Raw genomic sequence first — 19,960 nt, 5'->3', positions numbered from 1 at the left:
GGGCGTGGTGGCAGGCGCCTGTAATCCCAGCTATTCGGGAGGCTGAGGTAGGAGAACCGCTTGAACCCAGGAGGCAGAGGTTGCAGTAAGCTGAGATTGCACCACCGCACTCCAGCCAGGGCAACAGAGTGAGACTCCGTCTCAAAAAAAAAAAAAAAAAAAAAAGAAAAAAGAAAAAGAAAAGAAGAACCCACCCAGCTCTACCATTACTGTGATATCTGAGGCTGGAGAAAATAATGAAACTGTCCAGACTATCCTCAAGTTTACAGACAGTGAGAAATACCCAAATGAAGCTCCTTTTTATGAAACATTCTTGGAAAATCTAGAAGATAATGTCTCAGACATTTAAAAATTCTTAGCATTACAAGCTGAAGAAATCTTGGCATGGTGATGATCTTTAGTGACAGCTGTGCAAGAAAAATTAAATGAAATGGATAAAAAGCAAAAGGGAGGAAGACATATATCTAGAATATAAAAAGAACTCTTTCAAATCAATAATAAAAAGTCAATCCAATTAAAATTTGGGCAAGAAACAAAAAGAAGCAGAAGAAACCATAGAGCAATTATTCCATGGCATTCCTGTTTACAATTAAGCATTTCTTAAGTTGAGAAGCCGTGTTTGATACTGAACTCTTGGAAATCAAAAAGAACCAAATCAAAGAATAAACAGGAAAAAATAAGTGGGAAGCAGCTACTTGAAACAGATCCAAATCTTGACACATCTGATATCCAGTTCTTGGAGGATGCTGGAAACAACGGAGGTAATTGAGTCTTTGTACCAGTAAATGGATGACCTGGAGCTGGGGGATGAGGAGGATGATCCAGACTCCAATCCTGCTGACCCAGAGAGTGACTCCACTGACCAGAGGGACTGTCCCCATCTGTAGAGAGGCTCGACTGCCACAGCATCCTGGCTATGCTCAGAGGGTTTTGATTTTCCTTTCCTTTTCTCCAAGAAGAAATTATTTTCAGGAGAATATTCTTCTGATAGATTTCATCATTGGACTTAATAAACTTATCTTAAAATTTCAAAAAAGTCCATTGTATTCCTATATATCAGTGACAATTAGATATGGAAATTTAAAAAAATTATTAATGATAGAATCTCAATGTATTAAGTACATAAGCATACATCAGACAAAAATACGAAAGGCCTATGTATTGAAAACTAAAAAAAAAATTGCTGAGAGAAATGAAGACCTAAATAAATGGAGAGTTATATTTTGTTCATAGATTTGGAAGATTCAATATTGTAAGGTGTCAGTTCTCAAATTGACCTATATAGATGCAGTGCTATCCCAGACAAAATCCCAACAGGTGTTTTTGTAAAAATTGACAAGGTGGTTCTAAAATTCCCATGGAAACGCAAAGGACCTAGAATAGAGAAAATAATTTTGAAAAAGAAGAACAAAGTTAGAAGCTTCATACTGGGCATCCAGATAGACCACAATTGATTTTTGACAAAGCTGCCAAGGCAATTCAATACAGAAAGGATAGTCATTCCAACAGATGATACTGGGGCAGTTTGGATATTCACATGCAAAAACATGAATTCAGACCCTTTACCATGCACAAAAAAAATTCAAAATGGGTCTAAATATAAGAGCTAAAACTACAAAAACCTTAGAAGAAAACATAAGAGAAAGTCTTTGTGACATTGAATTAGGCAAAGATTTTTAGATACAATACAAAAAGCACAATCGATAAAAAGAAAAAATTTCATAAATTGGGCTTCATGTAAATTTAAAACTTTTGTGCTTCAAAGGACACCATTCTAAAAATGAAAAGGCAAGACACAAACTGGGACAAAATATTTGCAAATGGATATAAAAGATGGATAAAGGACATGTCTAGAATATATAAGGAACTTTTTCAACTCGATAATAAAAAGACAGCCCATTTAAAGTTTGGGCAAGATTTTTTTTTTTTTTTTTTTGTCACCCAGGCTGGAGTGCAGTGGCATGACCTCAGCATACTGCAACCTCTGCCTCCTAGGTTCAATGGATTCTTGTGTCTCAGCCTCCCGAGTAGCTGGGACTACACACATGTGCCACTACACCTGGCTAGTGTTTTGTATTTTTCGGTAGAGACGGGGTTTGGTGTTGGCCAGGCTGGTCTCGAACTTCTGGTCTCATGTGATCCACCTGCCTTGGCCGCTCGGAATGGACACATGATCTTTTTTAGGGTAATGGATTTATTCTACAATGGGATTGTGGTGGTGATTGCACAATTCTGTAAATTTTAAAATTCATTGAATTGTAGACTTCTTTGTTTGAGACAGGGTCTCGCTCTGTTGCCCAAGGCTCTAGCAGTGCAGGGACGTGATCATAGCTCACTGCAACCTTGAGCTCCTGCACTCAAGCAGTCCTCTTGCCTCAGCCTTCCAAGTATTTGAGACTACAGGTGTGCACCACTATGCCTGGCTAATTTTTACATTTTTTTTGTAGAGACAAGGTCTTGCTATGTTGCCCAGGCTAGTCTCAAACTCCTGGTTTCAAGCCGTCTTCCTGCCTGGGCTCCCAAAGTGCTGGGATTACAGGCATGAGCCACTGTGCTCAGCTGAATTACATACTTTAAAAAAGTAAATTTTTTAAGTTGTAGATTATACCTCAGTAAGTTGTTTTTAAAAGCCCGTTTTTCAATAAGTGGTGCTGAGAAAACTGGATATCCACATGCTAAGGAATGAAGTTGGACGCTTACCTATCACCATATACAAAAATTAACTAGGGCCGGGCGGCGCAGTGACTCATGCCTGTAATCCCAGCACTTTGGGAGGCCCAGGTGGGCGGATCACGAGGTCAGGAGTTCGAGACCAGCCTGGCCAGCATGGTGAAATCCCTTCTCTACTAAAAATACAAAACATTATCTGGGCATGGTGGCACGTGCCTGTAGTCCCAGCTACTCAGGAGGCTGAGGCAGGAGAATTGCTTGAAGCCGGCAGGCGGAGGATGAAGTGAGCCGAGATCACGAGATTCCATCTCAATAAATAAATAAATAAATAAATAAATAAATAAATAAATAAAGTGGATCAAAGACCTAAACGTAAGAGCTAAAATTACTAAGAGAAGAAAACATAGGGGGAATGCTTCATGAAATTGGATTTGGCAATGATTGCTTTATACACCAAAAGCACAGGCAGCCAAAGAAATGTTAGACAAATTGGACATCAAAACTTAAAATTTTGGCACATCAAAAGACACTATCAGCAGAGTGAAAAGGCAATCCATAGAATGGGAGAAAAGGTTCACAAATCATGTATCTGGTAAGGATTTGATACCCAGAATATATAAAGAACTTCTAAAACTCAATTACAACAAGTAGAAGAACCTAATTCAAAAACGGGCAAAGGATTTGAATAGACATTTCTCCAAAGAAGATACACAGATGGCCAATAAGCACATGAAAAAAGATACTCAACATCACAAATTATTGGGGAAATGCAGATCAAAACCACAATGAGGTACCACTTTCAACCTTTAGGATGGTGACTACTATTGATACAAACAAACAAAAAACCAGAAACCATGTGTTGGTGAGAACACGTAGAAATTGGAACCCTTGTGCATTGTTGGTGGGAATGTAAAATTGTGCGACCACTTTAAGAAAACAATATGGCAAGTCCTCAAAAAAAAATTAAACAGAATTTCCATATTATCTAGCAATTCCACTCCTGGGTATACATCTAAAAGAAATGAAAGAATGGACTCAAACAGATATTTGTATACCTACACTCATAGTGTTAATGGCTGTTGTGAGACCTTGGTTCTTGTCTTTTCAGTTTAAAAGAGTTTAAACAAGAGACACAAAACAGAGATGCAGCATATAGCAATATTATTGCAAAGGAGAAAGAATATTTTGAAAGTTAGGTGCAGAATAGACAGGACACCCTGAGAGAGGATTCAGGGCAGGCTACTCATAAGGATGAGACAGCAAAGACTGGCACTAGGGAGACTCCCTTTCTGGGAGTCTTAGATTATTACTCATGAGGAGGTGGGAAGAGCTGTTACTAGTAAGCATGTTTTGGCTGGTCCTCTGGGTGCACATGCCAGTAGCTGTACGTGTTTGTTCACACATCATATATCTCATTAGCATCTGAAATCTCTCCTCAGGGAAGTGTTTTTTACAATTATAATGAGCAATGGGCCAGTCTGAGGACAAGTAAAATCAAAATGCACATGCTCCCTACAGGGAAATTTCCTACTGGAGATAGCTTTGCTTGAATGAGCTGGACTACAATGCGAATGCTGGGCTTATTGTGTTGACAGCACGGTCGCCCCTGTAACCAAGAACATGGTTACTTCCTTGACTACCTCTCCTGCCTCAATAGCAGCATTACTTACAGTAGCCAAAAGGTGGAAACAACCCAAATACCCATCAGTGGATGAATAGATAAAATGTGGTATATACCTATAATGGAATATTATTTAGCTTTAAAAAGGAATGAAATTCTGAAACATGCCACAACATAGGTGAATCCTGAAGACGTGCTAAGTGAAAAAGCCAAACACGAAAGGTAAGTATTGTGTGATTCCACGTATACAAGGCACCTAGAATAGGCAAATTCACTGAGACAGAAAGTAGAATGGTGGTCACCAGGGCTGTCGGGAGGAATAGGGAGTTACTGTTTAATGGGTAGAGTTTCAGTTTACGATGATGAAAAAGTTCTGGAGGGCCAGGCGCGGTGGCTCACGCCTATAATCCCAGCACTTTGGGAGGCTGAGGCAGGCGGATCACGAGGTCAGGAGATCGAGACCATCCTGGCTAACATGATGAAACCCCGTCTCTACTAAAAATACAAAAAAAATTAGCCAGGCGTGGTGGCGGGCACCTGTAGTCCCAGCTACTTGGGAGGCTGAGGCAGGAAAATGGCGTGAACCCGGGAGGCGGAGCTTGCAGTGAGCTGAGATCGTGCCACTGCACTCCAGCCTGGGCGACAGAGCGAGACCTCGTCTCAAAAAAACAAAATCAAACAAAACAAACAAAAAGTTCTGGAGATGGTGTGATGGTTGCACACAATGTAAATGTACAATAATGACCCTTCATTGGTGGTTTAGCTTTTAGCAATTTCAGTTACCCACAGTCAACTGTGGTCTGAAATATAAACGGAAAGTTCCAGAAATAATTCATGTTTTAAATTGCGCACCCTTCTAAGCAACATGATGAAATCTCCCGCTGACCTACTCAGGATGTGAATCATCTTTTTGCCCACCACATCCACACTGTATATGCCGCCCACCCATTAGCTACTTAGTAGCCATCTCATTATCAGAGCTCCTGTTGCAGTATCACAGTGCTTGTGTTCAAATAACCCTTATTTTACTTAATAATGGCCCCAAAGTGCAGGAGTAGTGATGCTGTCATATTGTTATAATTGTTCTACTTTATTATTAGTTATTGCTAATCTTACTGTGTCCAATTTATAAACTTTATCATAGGTACAGGAAAAATAGTATATTTAGGTTTTGTGCTGTCTGTGATTTCAGGCATCCACTGGGGTCTTGGAATGTATCCCCCATGGAGAAGAGGGGACTACTGTACTTAATGCTACTGAACTTAAAAATGGTTAAAATGGTAAATTTTGTTAAGTATATTTCACAATAAAAAGTCAGTCAGCCTGAAAGAGATGCCATTATTAAATAATGCTATCAGTTGATGTGTTTTATTGTGCTCAGAATTATCACTTATCAGGAGGGATAATCTGTTCCCATACTTTACTCCTGTACATGAGTAAAAGCATGTCTTTTGTTTGTTAGGTTTGTAGATCTTTGCTATATTTGTAATGTCTGGAGCCACATTAATTTTTAAAGTGCTTGATGGTTAAATAACCATGAAGAAATTCTCAGAGAATACAGGAGTTCGAGACCAGCCTGGCCAACATGGTGAAACCCTGTCTCTACTAAAAATACAAAAATGAACCGGGCATAGTGGCGGGCGCCTGTAATCCCAGCTACTCAGGAGGCTAAGGCAGGACAATAGCTTGAACCCGAGCGGAGGTTGCAGTGAGCTGAGATTGTGCCTCTGCCTGGGTGACAAAGTGAGATTCCACAAAAAAAATAAAATAAAAATAAATGATAAAAAATATATATATCAGAGAATGGAAAGATTTTAAATTTATCGTGGTGTTAACTGGAAAGGTTAATGCTAGGGGCCAAATCTGATATAAACAAGTTTGGGAATAGAATCCTGCCATTAGATCTTGAATGCACAAGTACCATGCTTGTAATTCATCAACAGCATTTTCCCCAAAAGGTTTGCCTCTTGATTTTTTTCTTTTCCCCAGAATGTTCAGTGACATGGTAAGGACTTATTTTTTAGAATCCACACACATATAAAACAGCTTGACTTTATAAAGACATACTTGTTAAAAAAAAAAGTATTAAAAAAAGTATTAAATTACTGTTGTTTTTTTGTAAGAAAAAGACATCATAACAAAGGTTAAAAACAGGGGTAAGGTATTAGGCTCAGCTGACAAAATTAGTTCATTTGACCGTTTTTTCAAGGTTGAACAATCTCAGTCAATAACTGCAACACCATAACTATAAGCAAATAACCACCCCCCCACACACACACACAAAAGCCTTTTACTAAATGTGACAAGATATGTCATGAAAATAAAGTTAGATTCTCTGATGAGGAGAGCCGATTATGAAGACTGGGACTTGCTTAATAATGTTAGCTCATATTATGAAAATCATAGCATAAAGGTACATTATATTTTTAAAACTTATTAATGACCTTCCTTCACCAAGGATGTCCTCCTGCCACCACACCATCAAGCCTTACTTCATCGATAGGTTTATTCATGTCGCCTTGTGTGCTTCTGGAATGTAAGCCTCCCCGGGCAATCTTTCCAATGTATTCCTAGCATAAATCCACAGCCTGAAGTCTTAGCATGCATTTATATTGTTGTTAGACACCATCCCTACTGCAATAATGCCCTAATGCTGACAACACAACTCTCCAAATGGAAAGCAGTGTAACAGTATGATCATGCACACCACATGCCTGTGTGCCAGGTACTATGGTTAATATTTCAAATATTTTAACTCCTATAAACCTTAACAACTGTATGGAGTAGGTGGTATTATTCTCACTCTACAATGAGAAAACTGAGGTTTAGGGAGGTTAAACCCATGTTTTTCTTACTGCATTTCCACAGATATGGGTGTTAGTCTCAGGACTTGCTGGCTACAGAGGGAATTTTTGTCTCTAAATAGTCCCAATTAGCCACAGGTTTTATTAGTCCTTGTTTCCTTGGTATTTTCTTGCCATCTATTATTGTCATTGCTGTTACAGTGACTCACTCTAGCAATCTTTTCCCCTCAACCACCCTTTTCTAACTTGTATATCTAAGACAGGTCACCAGGCTTGTTAGAACTTTGGGTAAGAGGCAGTGAGCAAAGACAGTGAGGGGCGGGGGGTGTGGGCAGGCATGCAGGGAACTTTATATGTGAGACTTGAATGGGGAATCTGACAGAACTCAGTGTTCTGAGGAGTCTTGTCAGGCTGCTGGAAATTTTTGATATTCTAGGTTAGTTTACCTCAACACATCCTATCACAAACAGAAGGGGTTGGCTTATATATGTGAAGAAGATAAGAGACATGTAGATAGGTGTGCGTAGTAAGAAACATTGCAATGGAGAAAGCATCTTAATTCTTACTTATTTTTCACAGGTCATGAACAACACTGAAGAAACGTCAAAGTGAACCAAATCATTGTTTTTATTTTACAAAGGCAGAAAATGAAACACCACTAGGTAAAAGAATTAAAAATCTAATCCTTTATTTCTTAAATAAAACGCTTGTGTAACTCGTATCATGAACCATAATCCATTCTGCTGCAAGGTGTGTGTGCTTCTGTAATGTGCATCAGTCCATCGGCAACTGCTAAGTAGGGGGTGATACCAGTATAATTCGAAGTCACATTGGTTCAACATGACTCTCCCCAGAAAGCTGATGTGCTGAAGCAACCAGAGGCAAATGTTCACACACCTAGAGAGAAACCCTAAGGGATATATGAAGATCTTATGAAAAAGGATGAAAACCCTTTAAATGCAAGGAGTAGCTGGCTTAGTGGCTTCAAAACCACCTCATTCCTGCTGTTATCTGAGAAGCTGCAAGTACTGATGAAAAAACTGAGAAGACATTTCACCTGGCAATTAGAAAAAAGCGCTGACTGATAGATACCTCTGTATCATTCTTTCAATATTGATGAAAATGCTTTCTACTAGAAGTGACTGATTTCAAGGATCTGTCTCTCAAAGGAAGAAACAAAAACCCAAAATTTTGACTGCAAAAGATTGACTAATTCTAGGTGCAAGTAACTGGAAATTTAGGATTGTTATTGTACTACACAGGTCACAAAGTTCCAAACCTATTTCCCTTGTAATTTTTAGTGCATGATTTTTCAGAATGCAGTTTCTATCTTTTTAGGTGCAATATTAAGAACTGATTAGGTCAGAACAATTTAGTTTCTCCAGTTTTTTCTACCTAAGTTACATGGGGGAAAAAAAAGCAATAGTAACTTTAAGGAAGTATGAAAATAAAGTCTTGGAGCAGTGGAAAGGTCTGGGGCTGGTAAATGGCTTAGGCAGAAGGGCATGCACCGGCCAAACCTAACAGCCTGTCTCTGAACTATGTCCTCGTCAAGGCTGGGATGCACGCTGGCTTCTCTACACAGTCTGGCCCAGTGTAAGTGCTGTGAATTCAGTGGGTCACTAGTGTCACCAATTCATTCATCACCCATCATTCACTCATTTCACAAACACATGAGGGTAAGACATTGAGACAGAGTACACAAAATGAAAAGCTCTCACATAATTTTAATAGACTTTATTAGAAGTTTTAGATTTTCAGAAAAACTGAGCAGATAGTATAGAGTTCCCCTATGCTTCCCCCCACCCCAGGCCTTTATTATTAACATCTTGCACTAGTGTGGTATATTTGTTTAACCAATATTGACACATTTTTACTTTACTTTTTGAGACAAAGTCTCACTCTGTCATCCAGGCTAGCTGAAGCCTGTAATTTACATGAAGGGTCCTCTTTTTGTTGTATGTCTTTATGGATTTTGACCAATATATAATGTCATGTATCCACTATTATAGTATTGTATACAGTAGTTTCACCACCCTAAAAATCTCTACTCCATGTATTTACCCCTCCCTCTCTCCCACTGAACCTCTGGCAACCAGTCTTTACTAACTTTGCTTTCTCCAGAATGTCATATATTTGAAATCATGTAGTATGTAGCCTTTCAGACTAACTTCTTTCACTTAGCAATATACACTTAAAGTTCCTCTATGTCTTGTGACTAAATACCCCACCCCCTGCCCTTTTTAAAAAAAAAAAAAAAAGCTAGGCCATATTTTTTTTTTTTTTTTTTTTTGGTGGTTTAAAAATTTACTGTGGCAAAATGTACGTAAGATTTAAATTTTAACCATTTTGAAGTTACAGTTTAAAGGCATTAAATACATTCGTTGTATGTACCAGTCACCACTATGCACCTCCGGAACTTTTTCATGATCCCACACTAATCTCTGTGCCCCTTAAACAATAAATTCCCATTCCCTCCTGCTCCCTGTGACAAAACGTAATCTTTGTTCTACTTTGTCTCTATGAATCTCACTAGTCTAGGTACCTCACATCAGTGGATTCATATAGTATTGTCCTTTTGTGATTTACTTAATGTCTGAAAGGTTCATCCATGATGTAGTATGTAGAAGGATTTCCTTTTTATGGCTGAATAATATTCCATTGTATGGATATAACACATTTTGTCTATCCATTCATCTGTTGGGTATTTGGGTTGTTTCTACCTTTTGACTACGGTGAATAATGCTGCAGTGAACACTGGTATACAAATATACCCTCAAGCCTCCGCTTTCAATTATTTTGTGTATATACCCAGAAATGCAATTGCTGAATCAAATGACAATTCTATATTTAATTGGAAAATCACCATACTGTTTTCTACAGCAGCTGCATACCACTATATTTCCATCAGTAATAAGAGTTCCAATTTCTCCACATCCTTGCCAACACTTGTGTGTTTTTTTAATTTTAATAAGAGCTATCCCAGTGGGTATGAAGTGGTATCTCAATGTGGTTTTGATTTGCATTTCCTTACTGTTTAGTGATGCTAAGCATTTTTTCCTGTGCTCACTGGCTATCTGCATGTCCTCTCTGGAGATCTATCCAAATCCTTTGCCATTTTTTAAATCAGGTTTTTACACTGTTGTTGCATTTTGGGAGTTTTGTATGTATTCTGGATGTTTAATCCTTATTAGGTACGTGAACTGCATATTATTTCCTCCCACTCCATAGGTAATCTTTTTACTCTGTTGATAGTGTTCTTTGATGCACAAAATTTTAATGAAGTATAATTTGCCTATTTTTTCTTTCGTTGTCTGTGAATTTGGTGTCATATCCAAGAAACCACTGCCACATCCTAAGAGTTTTATGGTTTTAGCTCTCACATTTAGGTCTTTGGTCCATTTTGAGTTAATTTTTGCAAATGAGTGAGGTTGCAACTTTGTTAGTTAGCCATGTGGTTATCCAGCTTTCCCATCATTATTTGTTGAAAAAACTATCCTTGGAATAGCCTTGGCACCCTTGTCAAAAATCATTTACCTACATATGAGAGGGTTTATTTCTAGGTTCTCCAGTCTATCCCATTGGTCTATCCGTCTGCCTTTATGCCAGAATCACATTGTTTTGATTACTGTAGCATTATAGTAAGTTTTAAACTCTGCAGGTTTAAGTCCTCCAATTTGTTCTTCTTTCTCAAGACTGACTTGGCTATTTGGGATCCCTTCAGATTCCACATGAAATTCAGGATGGGTTTTTCTATTTCTGCAAAAAAAAAAAAAAAAATCCTAGGATTCTGATAGAGACTGTAGTGAATCTGCACATCACTTTGAGTAGTACTGACATATTAACATTAGATTTTCCAATCCATGAACATGAGATGTATTTCCGTTTATTTTTATCTTTATTGAAGCAATGTTTTGTAGTTTTCATTGTACAAGCCATTTACCACCTTGGGTAAGCTAATTTCTGTGCATTTTATTCTTTTTGACGCTATGGTAAATGGGACTGTTCTTGTAATTTCCTTCTCAGGTTGTTCATTGTTAGTGTATAGGAATGCAACTGACTTTTGTGGGTTGACTTTGTATCCTGCTACCTTACTGAATTAACAGTTATTTTTTTTTTTTGGTGTGGAATCTTTCGGGTTGTCTAAAGATCATATCATTTGTGAACATATAGGATTTTACTTCTTACTTTCCAACTTAGATGTCTTTTCTTTTTCTAGCTCAGGCTAGAACTCCTAGTACTGTGTTGAATAGGAATGGTGAAATGAGCATTGTCTTGATCTTAGAGGAAAAGCTTTCACCACTAAGTATGGTGTCTACCGTGGGCTTTTCATGTCTGGCTTTTATTATGTTCAGGTAGTTTCCTCTTATCCCTCATTTGTTGAGTGTTTTTAATCACAAGAGGCTGCTGGATTTTGTCAAATGCTTTGTCTGCATCAATTGAGATGATCATCTGGTTCTCGCTTCGTTCTGTTAATGTAGTATATTATATTGATTTTTGTATGTTGAACAATCCTTGCATTCCAGGAATTCATTCCATTTGGTCGTGGTGTACAATCCTTTTAATATGCTGCTAAATTCAGTTTCCTAGTATTGACAATTGTTGAATCAGCGATCATAAGGAATAACTGGTCTGTAATCTTTTCTTGTAGTATCTTTGTCTGGCTTCAGCATCAGAATGAATTAGGCAGCGTCCTTCCTCTTCAATTTTTGGGAAAAGTTAGAAGGGATTGGGGTTATTTCTTCTTATTTGGTAGAATTCACAAATGAAAACCATCAGGTCCAGTGCTTTTTTTCCAGGAGAATTTTGATTACTAATTCAATTACCTTACTGGTTATAGTTCTATTGAGATTTTTAAATTTTTTTCATAGTTCAGCAGTAGTACGTTTTGCATTTCTAGGACTTTGAGCATTTCATCTAGATTGTCGAAGGTATTCTTCTATAACCCTTTTCATTTTTCTAGAATCTAGAGTGCTGTTCCCATTTTCATTTATTTTAGCAATTGAGTCTTCCTTTTTTTCTTAGTCTATCTACGCATAGGCTTTCCAACTTTATGGTCTTTTAAAGAACTTGTAGTTTCACTGATTTTTCTCTAGTGTTTCTAATCTTTATTCAATTTATTATATCTGTTCTAATCTTTATTATTTCCTTCCATCTGCTAGCTTTGGATTTAGTATGTTTTTCCCCCTCAAGCTGCAAAGTCAGGTTGTTGACATGAGGTCTTTTTTGTTTTTTAATGTAAGCATTTATGTCTACAAATTTCCCTTTTAGCAGTGCTTTCACTGCATCCTATAAATTTTGGTATGTTGCATTTTTCTCTTTTTAATTTCCCTTGTGATTTCTTCTTTGACCCATTGGTTGAGTGTTTTGTTTAATTTCCACAAGTTTGTGAATTTTCCAATTTTCCTTTTGTTACTGATTTCTAACTACATCCTGTTGTGGTTCAAAAATGCACCATATCTTCTTCACTTCTTTGTGTGTGATATGTATCTTTTAAAACTATGTAGGCTTGATTTGTTGTTTCTGCTTTCAGTGATCCCATCTCAAGTTTGCTGATTCTTTCTTCTACCTGCTTATATCTGCTGCTGAACCCCTGTAGTGAAAATTTCATTTATTATACTTTTCTCTGCCAGAATTTTTTTATAATGCCTATCTGTTGATATTCTGATTTTGTTCATTTATCATTTTCCTGATTTCTTTAATTCTTTGTTCATGTTTTCCTTTAGTTCTTTGGGCATATTTGAGTTAAAGTATATGTCTAGTTTAATGTCCTTCATTAGGACAAGGTCAATTAATTTTGATCTTTTGAATGCGCATTATTTTCCTGTTCCTTTGTATGGTTTGTGATTTTTTTCCTTGAGAGTTGGATATTCACTATTATAATATGGTAACTCTAGGTATGAGATTCTTTCCTTTCCCCACGGTTTTCTGGTTCATTGTTTTTTTATTTTTAAAAGCTGTCATCCATTTGTTTTGAGAGTTTTCCAAATTATTTTTATAAAAGACTATTCCTTCTGTGTGTGATCACTGAAGTCTCTCTTCCTTTTATGTCACGTTCAGCTATTTTGACATAAATTCCCTTGAATGCTAGGAGCAATCCTAGATTTTACAAATCAGCTTTGTCCCAGGTAATCCTTCAATACTTACTTTGGCCTGCTTTTGGGCTTAGGGACCAGACCAAGGTGAAAGCTTGGGTCTTAGAACTTTCCGGGCAAGTGTTTTCCCTGGGCATGCATGTCGCATTTTAAATCCCCCCTGTATATGTAACTGTTCTTAATTTCCCAAAGTCTTACCCCAGATTCTCCTCTGGGCCTTAGTTGTTCTATTTTATGTTTACACCCATAACCTCTTGCCCCATGCACCTGTGGTTCTTTGCAGCTTTTGTAAGCAGTGCCCACCCTACCAGTTAGGCAAAACAAACATGTGACCTTGTGTCAGTCCTTCAAGTATCCGCAGACAGGTTAGAAAAAAATGTACACAGTAATTTGCAAAAAAGGTCTAGCATGTTTTCTCCAGTTCAAGGGAGGGGACTGGGCTTCTGCTGCTTTAAGACTGCCACAATGTAGGGAGAGGCTCGGGCAAGAGCCACTAAAAAGTCACAATATTTTCCTACCATTCTGCAGATGATTGGGCATTCTTTTGGTTGCTGTAAACCTTTGACTGTTTTCCAAAGCTCTAACAAGGTTCGTTCAGACAGTTGCTTTTTTTTTTTTTTTTTTTTTTTTGAGACAGAGTCTTGCTCCATTGCCCAGGCTGGAGTGCAGTGGCACGATCTCGGCTCACTGCAAGCTCCACCTCCCAGGTTCACACCATTCTCCTGCCTCAGCCTCCCAAGTAGCTAGGACTACAGGTGCCCGCCACCATGCCCAGCTAATTTTGTGTACTTTCAGTAGAGATGGGGTTTCACTGTGTTAGCCAGGATGGTCTCGATCTCCTGACCTCGTGATCTGCCCATCTCGGCCTCCCAAAGTGCTGGAATTACAGGCGTGAGCCACCACGCCCGGCCTCTTTTTTTTTTTTAATGTTTTGATAGGCAAACAAAAGCTTGCAGCTTCCTAGTCCACCCATTTTTGCTGATGTCGCTGGGGTCAATTATGTTTTATTCCTCCCTATAATTTTATTACAAGACCTTGAATAGAGTATGTTTATTAAGTATAGTGATTAAATTTTAGTCATAATTAGAAAAATGTCAATGGTCTCAAAATTCTCCTCAATCTGATAATTTGCATTTAAAAGCAACATTAATAAATATATTTTCTTTCAATTTCTTCTAAATTAATCAATCTTCCCTGTTTTTACTGGCTAACAGTCACTATATAGCAAAAACTTTTATAAATCTGTTTTAAGAAATGAAAGTTTCCAGCTGGGCACGGTGGCTCACGCCTGTAATCCCAGCACTTTGGGAGGCTGAGGCAGGCAGATCACCTGAGGTTGGAGTCTGAGGCCAGCCTGACCAACACAGAGAAACCCCATCTCTACTAAAAATACAAAATTAGCCAGGCATGGTGGCGCATGCCTGTAATCCCAGCTACTAGGGAGGCTGAGGCAGCAGAATCACTTGAACCCAGGAGGTGGAGGTTGCAATGAGTCGAGATTGTGCCATTATACTCCAGCCTGGGCAACAAGAGCAAAACTCTCTCAAAAAAAAAAAAGTTTCCATACCAAAATATTAAGTGATACTTATTGGCTTCTGCCAGTTTCCTACTTTGTAGTAGCACATGTTCTTGTAACCTGTCTTCAGTTGTGGCATAGGGTAGAAGTTAAATATATAAAACAAAAATAACATATTTTGCAAATATTTGATTATTCTTCCCTATATAGGGTCAATATTAAAGTAACTTTCTGGTATCACATTCTTTATATCGTATTCACTTTGTTCATTTAACAAGGATATTATTACTAATGCTTATTTTATTATTTTAGGATTTTCATTAAGCCAACTCATACCCAGTTTCTACAAATGAAAACCAAGTCAATCATCTAAAATTTCATGATTTCTTCCCATCAAGAGGATCTGGAGTCTTCTGTTCCCATTAAAACTGAATTTATGGCAGTGCAAACCTGGGCCAGACTGGGTATAAAATGACAAAAGCATATTTATATTCTTAAAAATTTCTGCAGATTGCATAGAAAGTTCTCAGATTTGTGGCTGGGCGCAGTGGCTCATGCCTGTAATCCCAGCACTTTGGGAGGCCGAGGCGGGCGGATCACAAGGTCAGGAGATCGAGACCATCTTGGCTAACACGGTGAAACCCCGTCTCTACTAAAAATACAAAAAATTAGCCGGGCGCGGTGGCGGGCGCCTGTAGTCCCAGCTACTCGGGAGGCTGAGGCAGGAGAATGGCGTGAACCTGGGAGGCGGAGCTTGCAGTGAGCCAAGATTGTGCCATTGCAATCCGGCCTGGGCTAAAGAGCGGGACTCCGTCTCAAAAAAAAAGAAAGTTCTCAGATTTGTAAAAGTTTATTTCTATTGTAATTCTTTGCATGTTCACTTTGTTAAATTTGCAATATAAACCAGTTGCACGTCTTTTGCTATCTGGCCTCGTAGGTTGAGGGTTAGGGTTTGCTTTAAGCAAAACTGAGATAACTGTAATGTGAACTGGCCTACTAGATTGCCCACTTTTATCAGTCTGCAAGGGTGGATCTATTTCTAGGTCTTAATTTCAAGGTTTACTTTCCCTCTTCCTTAGATTTTACTTGGATCAAAGGGCATGGAAATATATTCCTTGCTTAAGCCTTATACAAAGGAAACTAGCCCCAGAAATTATTTTGCTTTGAAAGTATGTAGATGAAATAAGTATTTTTAAATGTCTTGATTAAATAAAGTATTCTATGATCTGATCGTCAGCTCAGTATGTAGGCTAATGGTACACCTTTACTTCTCTTTTTTATGCTCACATTTTTTTCATGTGATCATTTTCAGTTTCACAGAGGACTACAATGATTGTCATCTCTAGGAATTTAGTTTGTTTTTAGCTAATACTCCTTTAATGCTTCTAAGACAAGCCTTTCAAAATTGTAATAAATGAGTTACACAGATTTAACTTTGGTTAAATTACTATTTCCCTTCCTCACAGGACTTCAGGGCCTCTGAGAGGCAGGGAGGATGACTTTTGTTCTTATCAATACTACTATTGTTTCTATTAGGTCAACTTTTCCCTTTTTACTTTGCACTAAGGTTACAACCATGTGACTAAATGATTTTACTGTTCATAACAAGCTCCAAAGGCTCAGCTATAAAAAGGAATGCTTTAACAACATCAAATATTGTATGAAATTACCCTGTATCAGACTCTTTGAGAAGCAGCAAAACATTTTATATGAGTATTAATTTGTTTAAAATAATCCATTCAATTCTAAGGCTCATTTTGTTCATATTTTCAGTTTTAAAAATCCCTTTTCCTCTACTATTCAACCAATTCTGGTTAATATCAGGGACAATAAAGTTTAAAAAATATTTGCCTTATGGGCTATATGAGCACATTCAAGGACTAAAATTTTGAGGTATTTTGATAATAGCTAAATAGCAAGAGCTAAATATAAATATTCATAGATGAAAAGTTTTGACAAATTTTTCTTTGGACTTGCCTCAGGAACTAGGATTTAGAATAACCATAAATTAAAGGACTCTTCCAAGCATTTTTATCATATATATATAAATAGCAAGAGAAAAATATTTTCAGTTTTAAAAAAAGGATAAAAGTGACAAAAAAGGAAAAGCAGGAATAATGCTAATACATTTGGTTTTACTTACCTTGCAAGTGTTCTACTGTCCTGTTAGAACAAACCACTGACTGTTACAAAAGTAACATTAGTTACATCATACTGTATTAGATGGAATATGCTAATTTCTCTCTTGTAAAACAGTCTGGAGGTAGATAGTCCACGCCACTTATGGTGTTTCTTCAATGAGGTCGTACAGGGACCAGGATCCTTCTGTTGTTTTTCTTCTACAATGGTGTGTTGCCTCCTCTTCAGGGTCCAAGATGGCTCACTACCAGATCCACATTCCAAGCAACAGGATGGAGAAAGGGGCAAATAAATGGTCATGCCATTTTAAGGACACAAAAAATCGTTTCCCCTCACATTCCATTGTCCAGAACACAGTCATACCTGCACAGGAGACTGGGAAATGTAGTCTTTATTCTAGGAGGCATACCCACTTGAAAAATCAAAGGTTCTATCATTATGTGAAAAGTAAAGAATGGATATTGAAGGAAAATTGGTGCTCTCTGCACATCTCTTATTTAGATATTTGTACAGAAATTCAAACTTGAAAATCATTCTACTGGGAATATGACAGGAATGACTAGCTGACATACCAACTATTCTGGGTTTTCATTTATAAAGGATTAGTTTACTTCCTTTGTTCATCCAAAAGCAATGAAATGCAAAACATTACCTGAATGAGTTCCACGCTATGTTTTATTGGTATAAAACCAAAATAAGATGATGTAATACTCTGGTCTACCAGTTAGTTAGCTATTTAGACCTAGGTGAAAAAAAAATATTTTTAAGGAAAGAAGAAAAATCTTTTACTTATAATAAAATACTGATTAGTCTTGTCAATTTATCTGACCAAAACAAAAATAGTTCTTTAATTTTTATCAAATAAGTAAAAAGTCAATAATAATATTGTTACTTCTGAAAAAATTCATAAAACTGAAAGGCAGAGAAAAATTTCTCCAGCCATCAGTATATTTTTCTCCTTTATTAAGGGAGAAAAAAGGTCTTCATGATTCTGCTAAAAGACATCACCTAACAACGCAAGGGGTAGTCAGGGAATGTCTTAAATCTATATCCTATTGATGAATACCCTTTTGCTCTTCCTATGCAGGAAGACTATTTAAGGTCATGTTACACAGCAGCTACATGATCTGGTGCAACACAACTATAATCAGTTTGCTTCTGCCTGATGCAAAAGCTCTCAACTCCTAGTCAGTGTTATGTCCAAAGTTGTCCTTCATCTAATATATTAAATACTACCCTCATGTGATCTTAGAGCATCAATCAAAGCTACAAAAAAGATATATCTAAAGTTATTTTTGTTTGAAATACACATGGCCCAAGTTTCCATTTTCTGAAAAAGGCAGAACCCAAAAGTTACATATTATGAAAGCCACTTTAATTATTATTTAGATGACCCCAGATGTATGAGTGCCATTATTGTTGTATAGCTATGAAACAGATCATCATCTTTTACCTCATTACATTTCCTCAATATAAAGTTCCCAGTGACTATCCGATCACATCCAATTTCTCCATTTCCAAAGAAGCCGAATAAGGGAACACTAGGAAAAAACTTTCTAAATGCATCAGCCTCAACATTCCCCTTGGCTCTGTAATACTGAAAGCCCCTGCCAACGCATGCAAACATGAAGCCAATGGTGTTATGCTCTGGAATGTTGGCCGCTTTGAGGCGCTGCATCGCAGCCTCAGCAGTCTTCTCATCACTGACGTCCTCGTTGAGGAGCACAGTGGCACTCTGGATTCGGTGTCCACTAAATGACAGTCCAACCACACCCGAGGCATCAATATCCAGAGGGTTCCTGGAAAATTTAGAAAAGTGGCAATATCTCATGAAACATTAAAATTTTTAAGTATAGAAGCAAAATCCTCCTGATTCACTGACGGGAGGCTGCTGCCTTTAGCAGCCTATGGTTAATCTGAGGCTCACCCTCATAGGTGAGTAAAATAGGGTCAAAAATCAAAATTAATACATAAAAAATGCACAAGGCAGATCAAGAGAAGCCACCATTTTTTTCAGTCACAAATACAAAGGGGCAATGCACATCCATAACGATTTCTGAAACCCATATCCGGTTATTAGAAAGTACAGTTTCCTTACCTTTCTGACTTCCTTAAAAGGAATGTTATAATTTTATTAATATACACAAAGATATCCACTAAACGAAGCCTTCTGCTATTGTTTACATTAACATCTCTTCCCCCCGACTTCAGCTGTCAAATTCTGAAAGATGTATATTAAAAATATAATAATGGAGGGTGATTTTATTTTTTTAGAGATAGGGTTCTCTGTTAGCTAGGCTGAAGTGCAGTGGCACAATCATAGCTCACTGCAGCCTCAAACTCGTGGGATAAAGCAATCCTCCTGCCTGAGTCTCTCAAGGAGCTGGGGCTACAGATACATGCCACCACACCTGGCTAATCTGTAAACATTTTGTAGAGATAGGGTCTCACTATGTTGCTCAGACTGGTCTCAAACTCCTGGGCTCAAGCAATCCTCCTGCCTCAGCCTCCCAAAGTTCTGGGATTACAGGCATGAGCCACTGCACTCAGAGGATAATTTTAAAAACCTATTAACTCTAGAAGTTTTAGCTTTATGTCTAGTCCACTAGAAAATATGATTATGTTATTTTTTTGTCTTGTTTATTGCTTTGAGTCTAGAGTTCAGCTTAATTTGATGGTAAAAACTCATGCTTTGTTTTTGTTTATATTTGCCTGGTTTTTTTAAAAAATGAAATATCCTTACAAAAGAAAATACAACATTGATAAAAGTAATAAAGCATAATATAGTGAACATCCACTAGGGGATAAACAAGTATTGTATCATGCTTCCAACATCTGAATCTATAAAATGGGCAAGAGTCACTGGATTAGTGAGAAACTAAGACGCAAAAAGGTTAAGTGACTAAAGTAATAAGGCTAGCTAGTAGTAAAACAAGTTTGTGAGGGGCAAAATCCGTCTTCTGAAGTCCTCTGCTGCTCTTAAAACTTTATCACATTTCCTCTTTGGTACAGAATTGTTAATATACATTGTCAATCTTGCCTCAAAGAATTATACATCTTCCTTTTGGGGCACTGGGTCAGTTGGGTTATCTGGACTTTATTAAAATGGAGCCCT

At 37.6% G+C, this 19,960-nt stretch overlaps 2 protein-coding genes across 17 annotated transcripts in view; one reads left to right on the top strand and one right to left on the bottom strand.

Moving 5' to 3' along the window:
- NRG4 (neuregulin 4) overlaps positions 1-15,936 on the top strand; it is a 124,848-nt gene extending 108,912 nt beyond the window's left edge. For 7 of the 14 annotated variants that reach the window (XM_047432183.1, XM_047432182.1, XM_047432181.1 and 4 more), the window contains one exon: positions 15,019-15,936. In XM_047432183.1, coding sequence (XP_047288139.1) covers positions 15,019-15,059 — 41 coding nt within the window. In that variant the 3' untranslated portion in view covers positions 15,060-15,936. Of the gene's footprint in view, positions 1-7,674; positions 10,394-15,018 lie in introns of those variants that run through there. The other 7 variants (XM_017021948.3, XM_024449848.2, NM_138573.4 and 4 more) reach the window with 3 other exon arrangements.
- The window catches only part of FBXO22 (F-box protein 22), a 38,634-nt gene continuing 27,491 nt past the window's right edge, over positions 8,818-19,960 (bottom strand). For all 3 annotated transcript variants that reach the window (NR_037623.2, NM_147188.3, XM_047432382.1), the window contains one exon: positions 8,818-18,644. Coding sequence is in view for 2 of the 3 variants with exons in the window: in NM_147188.3 (NP_671717.1) it covers positions 18,227-18,644 (418 nt within the window). In the remaining variant the exon portion in view is untranslated. The remainder of the gene's footprint in view (positions 18,645-19,960) is intronic.

The sequence above is a fragment of the Homo sapiens genome, chromosome 15 (assembly GCF_000001405.40).
Source record: "Homo sapiens chromosome 15, GRCh38.p14 Primary Assembly".
NCBI classification, from domain to species: Eukaryota; Metazoa; Chordata; class Mammalia; order Primates; family Hominidae; genus Homo; species Homo sapiens.
The sequence above is the reverse complement of the archived record's forward strand: the minus strand, read 5'-3'. Positions and strand labels throughout refer to the sequence as shown.